The 20,593-nt window shown below is 45.5% G+C and overlaps 1 protein-coding gene across 20 annotated transcripts in view, besides 2 other annotated features; it reads left to right on the top strand.

Moving 5' to 3' along the window:
- GRB10 (growth factor receptor bound protein 10) overlaps positions 1–20,593 on the top strand; it is a 203,386-nt gene that overhangs the window by 11,145 nt on the left and 171,648 nt on the right. For 2 of the 20 annotated variants that reach the window (XM_017012031.3, XM_017012029.3), the window contains exon 2: positions 20,295–20,360. The exons of 15 other annotated variants lie outside the window; for them this stretch is intronic. In XM_017012031.3, the coding sequence (XP_016867520.1) occupies positions 20,295–20,360 (66 nt within the window). Of the gene's footprint in view, positions 1–129; positions 1,683–7,148; positions 20,589–20,593 lie in introns of those variants that run through there. 3 more of the 20 variants (NM_001350814.2, XM_047420253.1, XM_047420254.1) reach the window with 3 other exon arrangements.
- Positions 12,286–12,866: an enhancer, noted in NCBI's record as "OCT4-NANOG-H3K27ac hESC enhancer chr7:50837140-50837720 (GRCh37/hg19 assembly coordinates)". NCBI's record gives its function as "activates a minimal SCP1, AML or CMV promoter by ChIP-STARR-seq in primed H9 embryonic stem cells {active_cell/tissue: H9 hESC(primed)}" and the evidence as "EXISTENCE:reporter gene assay evidence [ECO:0000049][PMID:30033119]".
- Positions 12,867–13,446: an enhancer, noted in NCBI's record as "OCT4-NANOG-H3K27ac-H3K4me1 hESC enhancer chr7:50836560-50837139 (GRCh37/hg19 assembly coordinates)". NCBI's record gives its function as "activates a minimal SCP1, AML or CMV promoter by ChIP-STARR-seq in primed H9 embryonic stem cells {active_cell/tissue: H9 hESC(primed)}" and the evidence as "EXISTENCE:reporter gene assay evidence [ECO:0000049][PMID:30033119]".

Genomic DNA, 20,593 nt, shown 5'->3' with positions numbered 1-20,593 from the left:
CAGGGCCCGGGAGGGAGGCGGGGAGGTCTTGCCGCGCGGCCCCCTGCCCGCCTGCCGCGGGCTCGCTGCAGTCCGAGATCCCGAGCTTCGTTGCCGCCAGCCATAGGACAGTATTATGTAACCATTTTTAATCTTAATTGTTTAATATTATGTAACGAGTAATAACTGTACCCACGGAAACCCGTGACGACGATTCGAGCGAACCTCGCCCGCTCCTTCCTCGCCAGGTGGTGGGCAGCGGGTGTGGGAACCGGTTTGGGAAATGAGTGGATCTGGGCATCCGGGCTACTGCACCGGCTTTTTCTGTGAAAAACATAATGCTAGAGCCTGCCTGGAATTCTCTTAAACCTGGATGGCATATAGTCCGGTATAAAAAAGCTTTGAGTAAACACGTATAGTCAACGTTGCCTCTTTCTCCATGAAAACCTCTTTCTCCCTGGAAGGTGCATATCAGACAATGTGAATTGAGCAGTGAAGATGTGGGCATGGGGTTCGTGTTCTTGATGGAGTTCAAAAAATTGTGCATATGAACACGTAGGACGTCCTAGCCCTTGCTCTTTAGAAAAACAATCGGATCACCTGTTCCACACGCCAGTCGCCTCCTTGGTCGGCTGCCATTTGTCTGTTGATGGTACAGTCCCTGCCAGGGTGCTGGGGGGACCTCGTCTGCGGAGCCGGCACACAGGTGGCTATGGGCGGGGGAGACTGCAGTCTAAACCCGCAAAGCTCTCCTTCCTAGCCCAGTGAGGGGAAGCGTGGGTGTCTTTCCTCATTGTTCTTTTTAAGTCTGAAAGGCAGCGACTGCAGGGATTATGACGTGCTGGCGGCCAGGGCCTCGGGTGCTGCCTGGAGTCTCCTGCGTGTCTCTGCTCCTTTGATGTCAGCATCGGGGGTGGGAGCAGGGCCCACGCATTCCCCCTTTGGCCTGGGTGGGAACAGGGGAGGTGGTGGGCAGGGCCAGAAGGGCTTACTGGGATTTTCTTTCTCTCTGTCACTCCAGAGAAAGGTGGTAAAGAACACTTGTTTCAGTTTGAGGTGCTCGGCAGCCACGCGCTGAAGGACGGTTTTTAATTGTAGGGTGGGGTGTGAGTGCAGTGTGGTTCAGTCCCCTCCCCATCTTGTGCTACCTGCCGTTGTACCTGGACCTGTGAATCAGGGATAATAGTTACTATCTTGTAGGACTGAGAATGGTGCATACTAACTGCTGAGGAACATGGTGAATGGAGTTATGGTAATTGCACGATTGGCATGAAGGGGTGAGAGAAGTTCCAGATTGGTCGATTAAAATGTGAGTTATTTTTAGTGTCTCCTAAGGATTTCCATCACCAGTTGCTCCTCCAGCCATCATGTAATTACCACCCCAGAACTAGGCTTCCAAACTTCGAGAGAACACTGCATCTTTCGAATTTTGGAGGTTAGGCTCCAAAATTTGCATATTTAGGCCACAGCCTAAATTCACTGACACTTGTGTTCCCACAAAAGCCAGGCAGCTTCTTGGAGTATGTACTTGTGACTTAGTAAGAATGTCTTAGGAAACTCGCTTGGACTAGAATGGTTTTACCTTTCTTTCAGACTTGGGAGGCTGCATTCTGATAATTCTCAGGAGGAAGAATGTATAGGAGAGACCAGGGTTTTTAAGGTGTGACCTCTGAACCACCTACATCAGAGCTGACTGCCTCTCGGTATGTATCCCCAGGCCCCAGCTCTGAGCTACGAAACTGACTTTCTGGGCTTGGGACCTGGAATTCTTTGTCTTTGTAAAGCATGCCAGGTGATTCTTACAAGTATAAAGTCTGAGAACTGATGTGGTGTTCTGGGCCTTGTAACTACTGGGGCTTCTGGTGATTCAGTTAGAAAGTTAGCAGCTCCTGTCTGAAGGGTCAAGGGCAGAATGAGGGGAGGCCTTGAGGCAGTATGAGTCCTGTGGACCCTAGGAGGTCTGGGAGCACATGTCAAAAGAGGCCTTTATGTGGGCCTTTTGCTTCTGTCAGATTAAATAACTTGGCACATCTGGTAGTGGGCATGGCCATGCATCACGTGCAGAACTGGTGTGATGGACCATATTTTCTCATATTTCACAGAATTCACTGGCTGGGCATGATCCACAAAGTCCTAACCCATCCCAAACCCTGGAACCCTTTCCATGACGGTTTATTCTGATTTGTTCAGGAGACACATTTCTTCTGTTTTCATGTGGAATGGGCTTTGTTCCTCTCACGGCCGGCAGAGGTTAAATTAAAGGGGCCAGAAAATGCTGAGCTGTGACTAGGATTGGGGGGCCAGTAGGCATTTATTGGCCCCGTTTGCTTCTTTCTTCCCTTTTTTTCTCTGCCTCCTCGGTCAGGGGGTCCAGGACTATCTCTCCAGGGGCATTTCTGGTCTGTGGAGACTTGCCTGAAGGCAGCTGGAAGAGTCTGGGCTGAACTCTAGATGCCTCAGGCTCAAATCTCATATTAGTGAGGGAAGAAAATTCTAAATGTGTAAATGGTACCTGTAAGTCACCTACAAATAATTTTTTTCCTTTCCTGTGCAGTGTCTGGGAGCCAGCTTCTGAGTGTTGTCAAGGTAGTCCTGGTGGCTTGAGACTGGTGATGTGCCGTTGCCAACAATGGCTGTGTAATTCTGAGCAGTTGTTCAGCACTCAAGTGGGATGAGAATGGCAAGGAGTGCTCTGGGTGGCTTTTGACAAGGGACCCCGCCTGTCATTCACTCAACAGGTGTTTGAGGAGCCAGTCTGTCTCCGTCATCTGTTCCTGCCTTACTTAGATGGAAAATAATGAAATCTGTGTAGGAAGGGAGGGTGAGTAGAGGGATGGCCTGTGTTGACTGAACAATAAAATAGTGATGTTAATATATTTTGCTTATTTATTTTCTTAAAGGGAGCTGGCACGTTTCAGTTCTGATACAAGTTAAATATTAACAATGTCTGAAAATACCACAACTTAAACTTTAATATGCATGGGAATCTCCTGGGGCTGATAATAAAATGCAGCTTCTAATTTAGTTGGTCTTGGTTGGGACCTGAGGTTTTGGGTTTCTGACCAGCTCCCAGGTGTTATGCTTGCAGTTGGTCAGTGGCCCACACTTTGTGCAGTAAGGTCTTAATGCATTTCCCCCTGTGTTCACTTTAGTGTCTTTTTCTCTAGAAATTCTCTGAAGAGGACACTTTACCTGGTAAGAACTATTATTAATAATGCTATTACTTAATCTAAGAATTTTTGTACCAAGAATTTTCTAGTGATTAGCCCTACATTGTTGTAAATGACATTCTTAAATGTGTCCATACTTTATTCCAGGGGCAAATATTTGTACAGTGTCCTGCTTTGACATTTGTTTGGATTCCTGTGGATTTTATTTAGTGGTTTCTCTTTTGTTTATGATGATAGAACACTTTTAGAAAGGTTTGAAACCTTTTGAATCTTGAGCGGATTTGGAAGCCCCACCTGCCTTCTTTTAAGAATGTAGGAATTGTATCTGCTTTGAGCTTGTGCATGCTAACACCCCACTTCTTCCAAGGTCCTTGCTCAGTGCCTTCATGTCTCAGCATCACAGCCTGGAACCTGGAAGGCCTCCAAGCCATAGAAAGAAGCAATAAAGATGTCCCAGTGGGGCTTCTGGCTGGGGCCCTTGCCTGTTTCTGTCAGCGTTAGCCCGACCCTACCCTTGGAGGTAGGGTTGGGTTGTCCCATTATTTCCCTGTCAGGGTAGGTGGTATTAAAGCAGCTTTTGTCTTGCTTGCACTGTGAGTCTGTTCTGTGTATAAGGCTCCACTGTGTGGATCACCTCTACTTAATGCCACCTTTTGAAAAATTCTACCACCAAAGTTCTTCCTTGGATAGCAAAGACATTTTTGAATGTTTGTATTTGTGCCTGCCCTAGTTGATCAGTAAATGCATTGATGGGCTCCATGGGACTTTGGACCCATTCCTTTGTCATCTTTCATTAACAGTCTTCCTAGGCTGGTGGTGATGTTGGGCAACTTAATGCTTCCTGAAGGTTTTAGATACTACAGGAGCTAATAATTTATTGCCAAATAAGTGAGGAAACTTTGGATTAGATAAAGTTGGTTTCTTTATGGCACAACATTTCAGAAAATTTTGTGTGCCACAATGTATTATGACACTTTAAGAGGAAGATGGCTAGACTATGGTGGTTCCAAATTTTGGGGGGTCGGGGTGGAGTTAGAACCCCTCTTGTGCTGATTATTTCATTAGGCTAGTTTTTTCTTTCTTTAGTTCCGGGATACATGTGTAGAACGTGCAGGTTTGCTACATAGGTATACGTGTACCATGGTGGTTTGCTACATCTATCAACCTGTCATCTAGATTTTAAGCCCCCCAAGCATTAACTATTTGTCCTGATGTTTTCCCTCCCCTCAGTCCCTCTCCCCTCCCTGACAGGCCCTGGTGTGTGTTATTCCCCTCCCTGTGTCCATGTGCTCTCATTGTTTAGCTCCCACTTATGAGTGAGAACATGCAGTGTTTGGTTTTCTGTTCCTGTGTTAGTTTGTTGAGGATGATGGCTTCCAGCTTCATCCATGTCCCTGCAAAGGACATGATCTCATTCCTTTTTGTGGCTGCATAGTATTCCACGGTGTATATGTACCACATTTTCTTTATCCAGTCTATCATTAATGGGCATTTGGGTTGGTTCCATGTCTTTGCTTTTGTAAGTAGTGCTGCAATAAACATAGGTGTGCATGTATCTTTATGGGCTAGTTTTTTCATACAGTCCTCTCTTAAAAAAAAAAGCTGTATTGAGGTATAATTCACATACCATACAATTTACTCATTTAAATTTGAAGTATATAATTCAATTATAATTAGTATATTTACAGATATGTGCAATGGTGTGTGTGTGTGTGTGTGTGTGTGTGTGTATACAGATTGCTGTGGTCTGAATGTATCACCCAAAATTCATGTGTTGAAACCTAATGGCCAACGTGATGTTATTAAGAGGTGGGGCCTTTAGGAGGTGTTTAAGTCATAAGAGTGGACATAGATGGGATTAGGGCCCTTTTAAAAGGGCCTGAGGGGGAATGGGTTTGCTCTCTTCTGCTCTTCCACCATATGAGGATACAGCATTTGTTCCCCTCTGGAGGGTGTGGCAACAAGGCACCATCTTGGAAGCAGAGAGAGGCCCTCACCAGACACTGAACCCCAGTGCCTTGATCTTGGACTTCCTCTCTTCCAGAACCATGAGAAGTAAATTTCTATTATTTATAAATTACCTAACCTGTGGATTTTGTTATAGCAGCACAGACAGAAATTGATACTGAGAGTGGGTGTTGTTATAGCAAATACTTAAAAGAAAAGTGGAATTGGGTAATGGGTAGAGGATGGAACAGTTTGGAAGTGTTTGCTAGAAAAAGCCTAAATTTCTGTGAACAGAGCATTAAGAATGATTCTGGTGAGGGCCCAGAAGAAGAGGAGAGCCGTAGAGATAACCAGTGTCTTCTTAGAAACTTCTAAGTGGCTGTGATCAGAATGCTGGTAGTATTATAGACAGTAAAGCCCGTTCTGCTGTGGTCGTATATGGAAATGAATATCTTATTGGAAACTGGAGGAAAGACAGTCCTTGCTACAAAGGCGCAAAGAACTTGGCTGAATTGTGCCCATACTCTAGGGCTTTGGGGAAGGCAGAATTTAAGAGTGACAACCTAGGATATTTGGTGGAAGAAATCCGTGAGCATAGTATTCAGTATGCTGCATGACTTCTCTTAATTGCTTACAGTAAAATGTGAGAGAAATGAATTGAAAATGGAATTTATAATCCAAAGGGAAGCAGAGGCTGGGCACTATGGCTCATGCCTGTAATCCCAGCACTTTGAGAGGCCAAGGTGAGAGGATTGCTTAAGCTCAGGAGTTCAAGACCAGCCTGGGCAATATAATGAGACCTTATCTCTACTAAAAGTAAAAAAAAAAAAAAATTAGCGGAGTGTGGTGGTGTGCACTTAGCCCCAGCTACTCAAGGGGACTGAAGTGGGAAGATCACTTGAGTCTGGGAGGTCAAGGCTACAGTGAGCCATGATTCTGCTGCTGCGCTCTAGCCTGCGTGACAGAATGAGACCCTGTTTCCAAAAAAGAAAAGGAAGCAGAATTTAAGGATATGGAAAATTTTTAGCTTGCCCAGGTTGTAAAAACATGTTTGGGAGAAAACACTAAGGGTGTGGCCAAGTGACCTTTTGATAAGGAGATTAGTATGGATAGAAGGAAGCCAGATGCTATTCATCAAGATAATGGAAGAATGATCCTGAAGGCATTTCAGAGATTATCAGTGCTGCCCCTCCCATCAGAGGCCCAGAGTACCAAGGCCCAGGGAACAGAACTTATGTCAAAGGAGAGGCCTTGGGCGTCTGCAGGACCTCAGCATTCACTGCCTGGCATCACTTCTCTGCTCTCTGCATTACAGTGCAGCCCTCCTTGGATATCCCAGCTGTAGCTCAAGGGGGCTCAAGTGCAGCTAGTTCCATTGCTGTGGAAGGCACAGGGCATAAGCCTAGGTGGCATCCACATGGCGCTAAGTCTGCAAGTATGCAGAGTGCAAGAGCTGTGGATGCATGGCTACCTTCACCTAGATTTGAAAGGATGCCTCAGAGAGTCTTGGGCTCAGACAGAGAATTGCTGCAGGATAGGTCTGCTGCAGAGACTCCCTGCTAGGATAATGCCTAATAGAGCCATGGGGCAGGAGTGCCAAAAAGAGCCCCCACTAGGGCAATGTCCAGCAGAGTCTTGAGGCTGGGGGCACACTAGCGAGCTCCCACAAGGACAATGCCTAATGGAGCTGTGGGGGTGGGGCTGCCCTCGAGAGCCTGTAACTGTAGAGTTACCCGTGTGTAGTGCCAGCCTGGGAGAGCTGCAGGTACCCAACTGCAACCTGTGAGAGCTGCTATGAGGGCTGTGCCCAGCAGTTGGCTGCAGGGCTGCCCAGGTCCTTGGGAACCCAACTCCTGCCCCATTGTGTCTGGAAGGCAGGACATGGAACCAAAGATTTATTCTCCAGCCTTACCATTGATTTAATGTTTGTCCTGTTTGGTTTTGGATTTGGTTGGGAAATGTTACCTCTTTTTTCTTTCCTATTTCTCCCTTTTGTAATGGGAATGTCTGTTCTTTGTCTGTTCCACTGTTTTTTTTTGTTTTTTTTTTTTGGAGACAGGATCTCACTGTGTCATTCAGGCTGGAGTACAGTGGTGTGATCTCGGCTCACTGCAACCTCTGCCTCCTGGGCTCAAGCTATCTTCCCACTTCAGCCTGCTGAGTAGCTGGGACTACAGGCGTGTGCCATCACGCCCAGCTAGTTTTTTTTTTTGTTTTGTTTTGTTTTTGGTATTAGAGATGGGGTTTTGCCATGTTGCCCAGGCTGGTCTCGACCTCCTGGGCTCAAGAAGTCCGGCCGCCTCAACCTCCGACAGTGCTGAGATTACAGGAGTGAGCCACTGCTGAAGTCTGAAGTACTTTGCCTCAGGTTGAAACACATCTTTGAGTCTCACATGTCTGATTTAGATGAAATTTTAGACTTCAGACTTTTGAATTGATCCTGGCCTGAGATAAGACATTGGGGCTATTGGGATGGAATGAATGTATTTTGTATGTGAGAAAGACATAAATTTGGGGGACTTGGGGTGGAATGCCATGGTTTGAATGTTTGTGTCTCCTTATGGCCTTATCACTTCCCCAACGCAACTCTATTAAGAGGTATGGCTTTTGGGAAGTGATAAGGTCATGAGGGCTCCAGTCCCATGAATGGATTCTTGCCCCCATCAAAGGGCTGGAGAGAACTAGCTAGGATCCCCTTTTTGCACTTCTGCATTCTGCCATGTGAGGGCACAGCAAGAAGGCCCTCACCAGACACCAAGTGCTGGCATCTTGATCTTGAACTTCCCAGCTTCTAGAACTGTGAGAAATAGATTTTGTTCTTTATAAGTTATCCAGTCTCAAGTATTTTGTTATAACTGCAGAAATGAATAAACACACACACATACATTGTATATAGTGTTCAATTAATATATTCACAGCTATGTGCAACCGCCACCATAGTCAATTTTAGAACAAAAAGAGACCCTGCACCCTTTAGCTATCATACCCCCACTCCCTGCCATCCCATTGCTCCCCCTGCTTTCCCAACCCTAAGGAACTCTACTTTCTGTCTGCATAGATTTCCCTGTCCAGGACATTTCATGTGAATAGAATCGTCTGTGGTTTTTGTGAGTGTCTTCTTTCACTTAGCATAATGTTTTCATGGTTAATCTATGTTGTAGCATGCATTAGTACTTCATTCCTTTTTATGGCTGAATAATATTCCCTTGTATGTGTAGTCCCAGCTGCTTGGGAGGTTGAGGCAGGAGAATGGCATGAACCCGGGAGGCGGAGCTTGCAGTGAGCTGAGATCACGCCACTGCACTCCAGCCTGGGTGATAGAGCGAGACTTCGTCTCAAAATAAATAAATAAATAAACAAACAAATAAATTCCCTTGTATGTATATACTACTTTTTGTTTATTCAACTGTTGATGGACATTTATGTTTCTACCTTTTGGGTATTGTGAATAATGCTTCTGTAAACATTGGTGTATAACTATCTTTGAGTACTTGCTTTCCATGTTTTTGTATATATGTCTAGATTATAATTGCTTCATTATATGGTAATTCTATGCTTAGCTTTTTGAGGAACTGCCAAACTGTTTTCTAGAGCAGCTGCACCATTTTACATTCCCAATAATAATGCACAAGGGTTTCAGTTTCTCCACATTCTTGCCAACACTTGGCATTTTTCGTTTCCTGTCCTCTCCTCTCCTCTCCTCTCCCCTCCCCTCCCCTCCCCTCCCCTGCCTTCCCCTCCCCTGCCTTCCCCTCCCCTCCCTTCCCCTTTCTCCCCTTCCCCTTCCCTTCCCCGTCCCCTTCCCCTTCCCCTTCCCTTCCCCTTCCCTTCCCATTCCGCTTCCTCTTCCCTTGCCTTTCTTCCCCTTCCCCTTCCCCTTTCTTTCCTTATAGCTGTCCTAATAGGTGTTACATCGTTTGGCTGTGTCCCAAATCTCATCTTGAATTGTAGCTCCCATAATTTCCACATGCTATGGGAGGGACCTGGTGGGAGGTAATTGAATCACGGGGTTGGGTCTTTCCCATGCTATTCTAGTGATAGTGAATAAGTCTCATGAGATCTGATGGTTTTATAAAGGGGAGTTTCTCTGCACAAGTTCTCTTCTCTTGTCTGCCACCATGTGAGACATGCCTTTCACCTTCTGTCATGATTTTGAGGCCTCCTCAGCCACGTGGAAATATGAGTCCATTAAACTTCTTTCTTTTGTAAATTGCCCAGTTCTCTGATATGTCTTTATCAGCAGCATGAAAACGGACTAATACAAGGCATCAGATGATTGCTCATTGTGGTTTTGATTTGCTTTTTGTTACTCAGTTGTAGGAATTTATATATTCTAGATATTAATACTCTTATCAGTTATGTGATACGCAACTGTTTTGTCCTTTTCTGCAGGCTGTCTTTTCACTGTCTTCGTAGTGTCCTATGACGCACAAAAATTTTTAATTTTTGATGAAGTTCATTTATTTTATTCTTTTGTTGCCTGTGCTGTTGGTGTCATATCTGAGTAGTCATTGTCAAATCCAATGTCCATATAAAGATTTTTGCATATGTTTTCTTCTAAGAGTTTAACAGATAATTTTATTTCTTCCTTTCCAATTTGGATGGCTTTCATTTCTTTTTCTTACTTAATTGCTCTGGCTAGAGCTTCCAATACTGTGTTAAGTAGAAGTGACAAAAGCAAGAATTCTGTCTTGTTTCCACTCTTTGGGGAAAAGCTTTCACTATTTCGCCATTGAGTATGATGTTTGCTGTGGAATTTATAACAGACATTAACAGATATTTAATTCCCTTGCCTTGGTGGAATGTTTCGGGAATGATTCTGTATTCTTTGACTGTCCTGGGACTCTTGCATCGAGAATGTGGTCTAGAAGACCAGAACGAGGTGGCTGGGGAGTTGGGAGACACAAGTAACATGATTTTGTTTTATGTTATAGTGTGGCGTCAGTTCACCTTTCTTTCCAGACCTAGTGGCCATTTTGTGGTCTTGAGGGTTACAGCAAATGCCTTAGGTTTTGAGTGTCTTTCAGAGGCAAGGGGGGTTCTTATACCAAGGTTCTCACAACTTTTTTCCCTTTTTGTCTTAAAATGATTGAGACCATAGGGCCGTGGTGGTGTTGAAGGAGGTCGCCTGAATAGATCCACATCCGCATCACAATTTCACTTCGCCTCTTGTACTTCAGTACCAGGTTTAGGGGACACATGTGCCATTCAAGTGAGGTTGGCTTTGTAATGACTTTTCAGGGTGGATTTTGGCTTCCTACAGGTAAGAACTTTCTACCTTTGTAATATCCTGACTCATGAGTTGAAACAATAGATATGATGAAGGCCCATGCCCCGTTTAGAAGAGTAAGTCTCATGTTGCCAGGTCAGAAATAGATCCTCTTTCCTCTTGTTAAGCATTGTGCTGAATCCTGAGAGTGGTAATCCTGCAGCAGGCAGAGAGAGGAGGACGTTGCCCTGAAGCTGTGGGGAGGCCTGGGGTTCATTCCTACTGGGCTGCGGGTTCTGGTCTCTTCTACCAGTTTAAACAAAATGGCACAGATAGCCAAGAGCAGTATCAGTTGAGAGTAGCACGAATCTTGGGCGCTGATGTGTGCTGTTTAGTTTTGGCTCCTGTTTTAACACAGGGAGAGGGCAGATGGTGAAGCTCTGGCCACCTGTGAGTGTTGGCAACCCCAGGGGGGCAGTCCGTCCTGCTGGCTGTACTTTGAACTGGAAATACTGGACATATGACATTTTCCTTCTGACTCTCGCTGTTCGTGTGGCTTATGCAGGAGGCAGGGGAGGAACATTCTAAATGACCTGGAGCTATGCATCTTGCCAGAATCAACAAGCAGGACAAACCTTTGGGGAGAACAGTTGAGCCACTTTTCAAAGGCAGTGACCCTCTGGGACCCCCTACTTCAAACTGGCCCTGGAGGAGTAGACTGGTGGAGTGGACCGGAATGGAATGTCCTGCTGATTGTGTGGAGCAGGCTGAGTAGCACATGGTTTCTGGCCAGTGATGTTCATTTGTGTGGCCAGGTCTCAAATTCAATATTGTTTTTAAGAAAATCTTTCTGAATGAAGAAGTCTCCATGGACTCTTACTCCATAAAAACTAAGATTCTTTGCAGAGTTTCACTGGGCAGCAGTTCCATGTCTAGGGGTGGAGGTTTGGCTTCTGTCAGACTGTTCCACAGGGCACATTGAAGTCCTGGGTGCTGGGCAGGGCTGAGATTCCCAGGGGAGCACCCCCAGGGCTGGGTCCTAGGGCGCCTTGACACTGTTAAAAATTACTGAAGGCCCCAAAGAGCTGTGGTTATGTGGCTGTATATATTGAAATTTACTATTTTAGGAATTGACAGGCATTTAAAAAATATTTTTTCTCCATGTAAAAAGAATATTCACCCATTATATGTAAACATAACATCTTTTATGGAAAAAAGCTGTATTTTCAAAAACAAAAAAAATGGGAAGAGTGTCATTGTTTTGTACTTTTTAAATCCCTTTAATGTCTGCTTTAAGAGAAGGTAGTTGGATCCCCCCATCCCCCTGCCACCTGCAATCAGTCTTATGCTATTTGGCCTCTAGAAAACTCCGCTGTGCATTCGCGACGGAATGCAAGGGACAAGGACACATCGTATCTTACTATCTTGAAGATAATTTTGGCTTTACCACTCCTGGAGGTCTTGCCATAGGGGTGAGGTCACTCATACCAGGGTACCATGTGAGAGGCTACCACAGGTGGAAGCACAGGTGTGGGGATTTAGGCAGAGACCTTGGAGGCCAGGGGCTGCAACACCCCCTCACTGAATTCAGATAGATGCTTGGGAACCACCAGTTCCTCTGCTTGTTCTCTTGTGTCTGTTGTTTGAATCAGAAACTCAGCAGCTTAGGCCTCAGAGAGATCTTGAGGATACTTGGTCCGTAACTATTATGTGCCAAATGAGGGAACTTACTTCTTCAGTCTTCTAGAAAAATTTTATCCCTTTTTGTGTTAAAACGTGGATGCAGCCTGGAAGTGGTAATGCTAGATGCTGCATACCACCTTGATGGAACTAGATGAAGTGATTAGCTTCAGTCGCCTGAGTCTAGAGAGCCTGGGACCAGGCAGGGCAGCAGCATTTGAGGGACTCTTGGGAAGCTTGGCACAGCTTGAGTGTGGGGGCTGTGATGCACAAGCATAGGCAGCTGTCTCTCTGTCTCTTCCCCCAGTGTTTGTTGAGCCAGTGTGATGTGTCCTGTGTTGGCTGCCCAGGTATATACGACCGTTTCTATCCTCAGGTCACCTTTACTGGGGGGAAGACTGAAGGTTTGTAAAAGAAACTGTGATACCAACGTCATTCGATCATCCACCCGAGAGTGCCTTGGAACAAAGGAGTGTTAATCGACAGCAACGGGAGAATAAGAAGGCTGGCTTTTTTTTTTTACCTGACATGTAAAGGAGCTGAGGAGAGAAGGGTGTTGCAGAGAAAGCAGGGATCTGCATTCTCTTCCTCCCCACTGCTGTTGCAGGCTGACAGTCTTTGAGTACACACACAGATGTGGCTGTGTTGTGCCCTGTCAGAGGCCCTGTGAGTCTCACCACCTCCTGAAGCACAAAGGTCCTTAGTGTGGTGCTCAGAGACCCCTGAACCATGGGGTACAGGGTGCACAAAACTGGCCATGAGCTGACTTTGTAGAAGGGCAGCCTTGGAGGGAGGGTGAGACATTCATGACCGTGGACCCATTTTCCTCTGTCAGGAAGGATGGGGGAAGTGAAGAGGACCTGATCTATATTTGCCAAGAGAAGCTAAGCAGGTGGTTTTGGTGGATATGAAGGACAGGTTCTTTCTCGGGTCCCAGGACTCTCTTTCCTCCTGGGAAGCCCGACCTCCTGTGTGGCTCCATGGCTCTGGTCAGATTCCTGACTACTTAGCATCACAACAGTGGAGGACAATGGAATTCTAAAAAGATTCAGAGGAAACTTAGTAATGTTAACAGGAGACAGTTTGAAATTCGATTGTTGTGACTCTTTCAATGGCTCAAATTGCGGAGAGGAGGATGTGTAATGAAATGCTAAGAGTGGATTTTGATGGAGTGAAGGAAGTTTGAATTAGCTTTGATTAGAACACAGCCTCATCATGGGGACTCCATTCTCATGGGGAGTAGTGGATGCTTTAAGATGGATTCCCCTGAGTTCAGAGGTGGGCATCAGAATGATTTGCCTGCATACCAGTCGTGTCTGTGGTCCCGGGTAGCTTTCTGTTCATCAGCCCAGTGAATGGGGCTCCACTTTTCTCCCTTTGGCTTTGCCTCTGTTCCAAGAAGTAAACGTCCTGAAATAGAAAAGGAGGAGCTGTTCTTTGGCCAATGATTTGAGAATAGCTAGAACTAAAGTTACCAACTGTGGAGGGCGGTTCCCTGTGGGCCTCATCAACAGCTGAGGGCCCCCTTTCAGACACTTGTGAACAAGCTCCTCCAGAATCCTTGCATGCAGCTTTTGCAGAACTGATAAAAGCAATGGTCGGTCATGCTTGCCACAAGCTGCTTCTGTTGAGATCATCATTCTACGATCTTGACCAATGGGTGAAGTTTGGTTGCACTTTTGGCATCTTGCATTCACAGACCTACAGAAACCAGATTAGGGAGCATGTTGGAGGTGGCTCTGTAAGTGACAATGCTAAGATTGAGAACATAGTGATGACATGGTAAGTGTGTACTGAGTGAATTAATGAAAGAATACTGAATTTCAGGACTAAGGGGAAACATAGAGGTGATTATAAAGGAAGTGAAAACAGAACTCCCAGCTGACCACAATGAACCTGGGGGTTTATGAAGGCCTTATTAGGGCAATTGAAGTCTTAATTTGGGGATTGAAGGAGGTAGCAATGGAGTCTTAAACTTTTCTACCCAAGTTACAAGAGCCAGGTAAAAAGAGAATTAGTGCAGAATCTGGTATTTGAGCTTCCTGCATCGATTTTTCTAAATTATTTGCCAAATTACAGGTTGTTTACTTTCTTTAGCTAAGGCACCACTCAGGGTTTGCCTTTATCGTTGCACAGTTTGTCGCCAGGTCATGGGAGCTGAGGCTGTGTCTAGGTGGCTGCAGGCCTGAGAGGTGTCAATGATGGAGTGGAGCTGGGGGTGTTGGGAGAGGTTTGAGCGGACCCAGCTGGGCAGCACCATAGGGCTGCTGGGTAGGTATTTTTGGGAAGCAGAATGCTGAGCTCTCACTCAGAACCCCAGTGTAGGAGGCAGATGATTACCTGAGGCCCTCTGCACAGAGAAGGAACCAGCTTTGGAGAGCATCATGGGTTTCTGCTGCTTCCTCAACTGGTCTCCCCAGTTCCAGGAAGGCAGAACAGGTCATTGAGAGGCACAGCTTGGGCTTCTCGATTGCAACACAGGAGCAAAGTGGTAGATGGGTCATGTCTGTGAACGAGGTGTGAGCAGCCCAGTGTAGGACACAGTCAGGGTCCCCAACATGGCGGGCCTAGTGGCTCACTGCTGGGTCTGATTTAAGAAAGATACCTGGATAGGACGATGTAAGAACTGTCTTTGGGTCCCCAAGGATGGGTTGGGAGCTGAAATGTACCCCCTGCTGGCCAGGAGCCGCAGGGACTCTTGTAGGTATGGAGGGTATGGCATGGGGGCTGCCATACTGTGACTCAAGAGTGCGATGGGTGGATGTGGGCCTCAAAGTGGGCCAGCTCTGCCCAGACCAGAGCATTCTGCTTCCTGTGGAGCATCCCTGAAGTCCTTGTGACCGTGTGGCCAGAGAGCATGGTCTTGGGGCAGGCAGATGACAAGAGGCCGTACCAGGATGGAAGTCGTCTGCATTTGGAGGCAGGAAACAACACAGGACTCCCTGCAGTTGTTAAGTGTACTCTTAAGGTGTCCCATGCTTGCCTGCACCTGCCTGCCCTATACCTTCAGGATCCAGGTGTCCTTTTGGAACTGGAGGATCAGGAGCCAGAGGGGCCGGCAGTCTGGTACTCCTGCCTTGGGCATCTGTGCGGGCATTCTGGTATTCCTGCCTTGGACTTCCCGGCAGCCAGGCAGTGGGTACCTGGGAGGATGTTGCACCAGTCTGTGCAGGAGACCAAGAGAACTAAATACTGGAGATCATGCACACTCATTAAAAAAGAATACTGCAGAAAAGTTCGATTACATTGCTAGATAAAGTCATTTTTAATGTGTCCATACCCTGTGTCAGTTTTCAATCTTGTGCTACTGTATGATAGTGATGCATTTCAGAGCCATTAATCATTGTTTACCAACCATTCCTGTTTGTAGGAACCCTCTGTTTCCATTGTCTTTGCAAAATTCTTGATTTTCTGAGTTGAGGATTGGTTTTCCTTATTCATGTTTATATAGACATTACCCTGAAAACCTAGAACACACAGTAGTTACTTACTGAATGTACTAATGATATAGAGAATGAAAAGATATCATCATCTTTAGAATAGAATGCCAGGCCCTAGTGGGCTCTGGTGTGTGTGCTGGTGATGGGCTAATGTTGATAACTGGCTGTTTGGGGGTGGTGATAAAGCGTCCAAAGCACATTGACTGTTTCCCTACAGCTTTCTTCATTGAGGAGAGGAGAGATCTTTATCAACTGTGCACGCCTCTCCACTCCAAACTATTTACTCCTCGCACAGTTTTAACGATTACAATTACATTATGTTTCCTCCACAAGCAAGAATGTCTTTCCTCTTTACTTTTGAGGTGTATCCTTTTTTCTTTAACCCGCCCCTTTTTTTTAAAACTCCTTTAACTTTTTTTAAAACTCCTTTAAGGGAAGAAGAAAAGGAAAAGAAAGGAAGAAAAAGAAAAGAAAATAGAAGGGCAAAGTCTTTCAGTATTTCCAGAAGCTGCCTGTATAGAAAAGGGCCTGTGCAGTTAATATTCATGTGACTTGGCCTCAAGCACTTAATAGCCTCATTGTGTTTAGGTATAGAGCAGTGATTTCTCTGGAATTCCTAGAAAGGGAGGGGGAGCCCTCCACAAGGGCAGAGGGGGATCACAAGGGACCCTGAGTATAGGTTTTTGTGTGAGGAGAAGCATATAGGACCCTTGGCCTGAAACTGGATGAAAACATTCTTTCTTAGATAAATTTTAAAGTTGCATGAGTAATTTGTGATCTTTATTTTAAATAGTCGAACCCAGAAGTCTGTAGAGAGTGAAATTCTCACTTCACTTCTCATGGCCCTCCTTTGAGGTTGGTGTTCAGGGTTCTTTTGGCTCCTTTTGCTCTGCGGAATTAACTAATTACTTTTTAATTGATGCATAATAGATAAACATAGTTTCAAGGTACATGAGATAATTTAATGCATGCATGTAATTTGTAAAGGTCAAATCAGTGTACTTAATATACCCACCACCTTAAATATTTGTCTTAACTTTAGAAACATTCAAATTCTTCTCTTCTTGCTATTTTGAAGTGTACAATAGATTATTGTAGACGGTAGTCACCTTATTGATTTATTTAATTAAGTGTACTTATTTCAAGAATGAGCAGAAATAAGGCCTAGTATTATATAAATCAATAAGGTGACCATATATTTGTACTCATTAATCAACTTTTTTTTAATCCTCCATACCCCCCTACTCTTCCCTGTCTCTGGTAACCACCAATCTACTCTCTGTCTTCATGAGATCCACTTCATAGCTTGCACATGAGTGAGAACATGTCATATGTCTTTCTATGCCTGTCTTCCAGGTTAATGCATGCTGTTGCAAATGATAGAATTTCACTCCTTTTTTATGGTTGAATAGCACTCCACTGTGTGTATGTACCACCTTTTTTAAATGAGTTCATTGTTGTTGGACACTTAGATCGATTCCATATCTTGGCTATTGTGAATAATGCTGCAGTAAACACGGGTGTGCAGATATCTTTTTGATACAGATCCTTTCTTTTGGGTATATACCCAGCAGTGAAATTGCTGGATCATATGATAGTTCTATTTTTAGTTTTCTGAGGAACCTCCATATTGTTCTCCATGGGGGCTGCACTAATTTACATTCCCACCGGCAGAGTATAGGGGGTCCCCTTTGGTACATTCTCCCCAGTATCCATTATTCCCTTTTTGATAATAGTCATTTTAACTGGGGTGAGATGATATCTTATTGTGGTTTTGATTTGTATTTCCCTGATAAATATTGGTGTTGAGCATTTTTTGGATACACCTGTTGGCTCTTTGTATGTCTTCTTTTAGAGATGTCTGTTCACATGTTTTGCCCATTTTTAAATTGAGTTACTTGTTTTTTTGCTATGGAATTGTTTGAACTCCTTATACATTCTGGTTATTAATCTCTTGTCAGATGAGTAGTTTGCAAATAGTTTCTCTCATTTTCTCTGTTTGGAATTCCTGGGTGCAGACACCCACAGATATACTGCTTTCCCCTTTTTACGGCAGTGTTGCTTATTCCTGGTGCTTAGCTCTTTGCCTCCTTTATTAAACACTTGCCTTCTGTCAGTGCTGTGTGAAGCACTCTGTGGGAATTGCATCATTTCATCCTTGCATGAAGTTGGGACGGTTTTGTTCTCAGTTTACAGTTGAGGAAATTGAGGCAGAGAGTGGCTGAGCGCTTGTGCAGGCTGCCCCCACCCCAGCTGGTGGAGGCTGGGTTCTGAGCCACTTTCACAGCTGCCTCCCACAGACCAGAGCTCATGTCCCTGTGGCTCCTTTAGAGCTTTTGCGTGCCTTCCAGTGCTGCTTTCCATGCTGGAGGAGTACTGTGCTCTACTATATTTAAGTCGGCTCCTGTCCAGGCATTTTTTTCCATAAGTTCAGCAAAGATTTGAGCCACTTGGCCCTGTGCTAAGAGATGGGATACAGCAGTAGTCAGGACAGATAGAGTTCTCGGCCTCAGAGCTACCTCTTCTTGGGAAAGGGACACAAAAAAAGTTGGCAGGAAGAAGAACAGCACTAGCAAGCCTGATGTGTTCTGCAGAAGAGGCAGCCAAGGGCTGAGCTATAGACCCATGTGGAGAGGGTCTGGAGTGGGTCAGGCGGCCTGATCCCTCAGGGTGGACAGGGACAGGACAGGGTGGATGGGGAGCCTTGGTTCTCTGAGGAGGCTACCAGCAGGGGAAGGTGGAAGGCAGCTGGGGCCACAGGTGTTTGAAAAAATTCCAAATACAAGGCAGAGAGCATGCAAAGGCCATGAGGGAGGATAGAGTCTGAGAACCTGGAGGAGGCCAGGCTGGTGAGTGAGGTGACTCCAGCATGGGACAGCAGTGTCTGGGCAGCCTGGAGAGGAGGCAGGGGCCACACGCGTCAGGCCTGGCAGCTGTCGCTGAGAATTTGGGTGCATTTGAAGTACAGAGGGCAATGGTGTCACCTCATGGGCTCCCCAGAGCTAGGGCTGGTTAAGTGGGAAGCAGTGAGGATGCTTAGAGACAGGGCAGCTGAGTCCCAGTTCAGATGAGGGGCAGAGGCCTGGAGTTGGCAGCAGAGATGGAAGGGAGTGGATGACTCTCAGATGCTTCCGCAGCCAATGAGCTGGGCTAGCGGATTACATGGATGGAAGGCAGAAGAGAAAGTTAGGAATGGAGAGCTCTTGTTTCTGCCTTGTGCAGTTTGGTGGGTGCCATGAACTGGGGGAGAGGAGGGATTTGGGCAGCCACATTTAGGTTGCTTCCAGTTTTTCTGTCTTAAAGTGTGTAGTAAACATTCCGTGTGTGTGTATGCACGCGTGTGTATGCATGTGAGTCTTTCTGTAGGATAAGCTATTCCAAGAAGGATGCCTGTGCCTAAGACTAAAGTCTGAAAGCTGCTGCCCCCACTCCAGCGGGCCTCCCCATGCCTGTACAGTGTGATCCCACCTCCGGTTTAGGGGAGCCCTGTTGCTGTTCAGCCATCCTCAACTCTGGGTAGTCCCAGTCCTTTTAATTTTCAGCTATCAATTATAGCTCATGTGTTTGTATATGTCTCCCTGGCTCCTAGTGAAGTTTAGCATGTTTCACATGTCTGTTTTGCAAATTGTTTGCTTCTATCCTCTCCCCATTTTTATGTTGGGCTGCTTACATCCTATCTCTTATTTCAGTAAAGAAGAGATTAAATTCAGATTGTTGGCTGTGTGGTAATGGAAATATTTTGTCCCAAGGCTTTTTTTTTTTTTTGGAGACGGAGTCTTGCTCTGTCGCCCAGAGTGGAGTGCAGTGGCACGATCTCGGCTCGCTGCAAGCTCCGCCTCCCAGGTTCATGCCATTCTCCTGCCTCAGCCTCCTGAGTAGCTGGGACTACAGGCGTCCACCACCATGCTCAGCTAATTTTTTTGTATTTTTAGTAGAGATGGGGTTTCACCGTGTTAGCCAGGATCGTCTCCATCTCCTGACCTCATGATCCACCTGCCTCAGCCTCCCAAAGTACAGGGATTACAGGCGTGAGCCACTGCGCCCCGCCGGCTTTTTGCCTGTCTTTTGATTTGTCTATAGGGTCTTTTGCTGAACAGAAGTTAGTTTTTTCTTCATGGCTTCTAGGTTGAGAATCTTGCTTATGAAGATCTTCCTCACTCAGATTTTATAACATTTTTCTTCTGTACTATCTCTTAGTAGTTTAGTAGTTCTTGTAATGTTTAAGGCACATATGGAAGGTGAGGATATGACCGTGGGATCTTACTGAGCATAAGTTGCCAGCTATCCATGATCTTATTTTTAATTTATGTGTCATCATTCACCTCTGGCTGCATTCTCTTACTTTTATTCTGTAAATGGACATGTCTGTTCCTGTATCTGTAAATCAGCAAGCTGAGTTCCTTGAAGACAGGGCCTTCCTTGGGATGATATTGCTTTAACTTACTGAAGTGGAGGTGGAGTGTCCGTCAGCAATGTGAGGGCTTCCCTTTAAAGGAGGTGGTGCATTTCTAACCCTTCTGATCTTCTTTTGGCTTCCTCAAAAATTTTTTATTTTCTTCAAAGGATCTCGTATGTATTCTTAAGTGTGTTGTTTTGGTTGCTTCTGCTAATTAAATCATTTTCACCATTAGACTTCCTAGGTGTCTTGGAGCTGCTGTGCAGAAGGGCTGGGGAGGGTTTGTAGTTTGCTCTGGGATCGCAATCTTACTAAACGTTCAGATCGGTTCTAATTATTTTTCAGTGCATGGTCTTACATTTCATCTGTAAATAGTGACGGTGTATTAGTCTGTTCTTGCACTACTACAAAGGAATAGTTGAGACTGGGTAATTCATAAAGAAAAGAGGTTTAATTCACTCTTGATTCCGCAGGCTGGACAGGAAGCACGGCAGCATCTACTCGGCTTCTGAGGCGTCCTCAGGAAACCTACAATCAAGGTGGAAGGCGACAGGGGAAGCAGACATGTTTTATGTGGCTGGAGGAAGAGGAAGAGAAGTGGGGGGAGGTGCCACACACTTAAACAACCAGGTCTCTTGAGAACTCCATCACAACAGCACCACGAGGATGGTGCTAAACCATTCATGAAGGATCCACCACCACAGTCCAGTCACCTTCCACCAGGCTCCACCTCCAACACTGGGGGTTACAATTTGAAATGAGATTTGGTAGG

This window comes from Homo sapiens, chromosome 7 (genome assembly GCF_000001405.40).
Source record: "Homo sapiens chromosome 7, GRCh38.p14 Primary Assembly".
NCBI classification, from domain to species: domain Eukaryota; kingdom Metazoa; phylum Chordata; class Mammalia; order Primates; family Hominidae; genus Homo; species Homo sapiens.
Note: the sequence above shows the minus strand (reverse complement) of the source record. Positions and strands in the feature narration are given on the sequence as shown.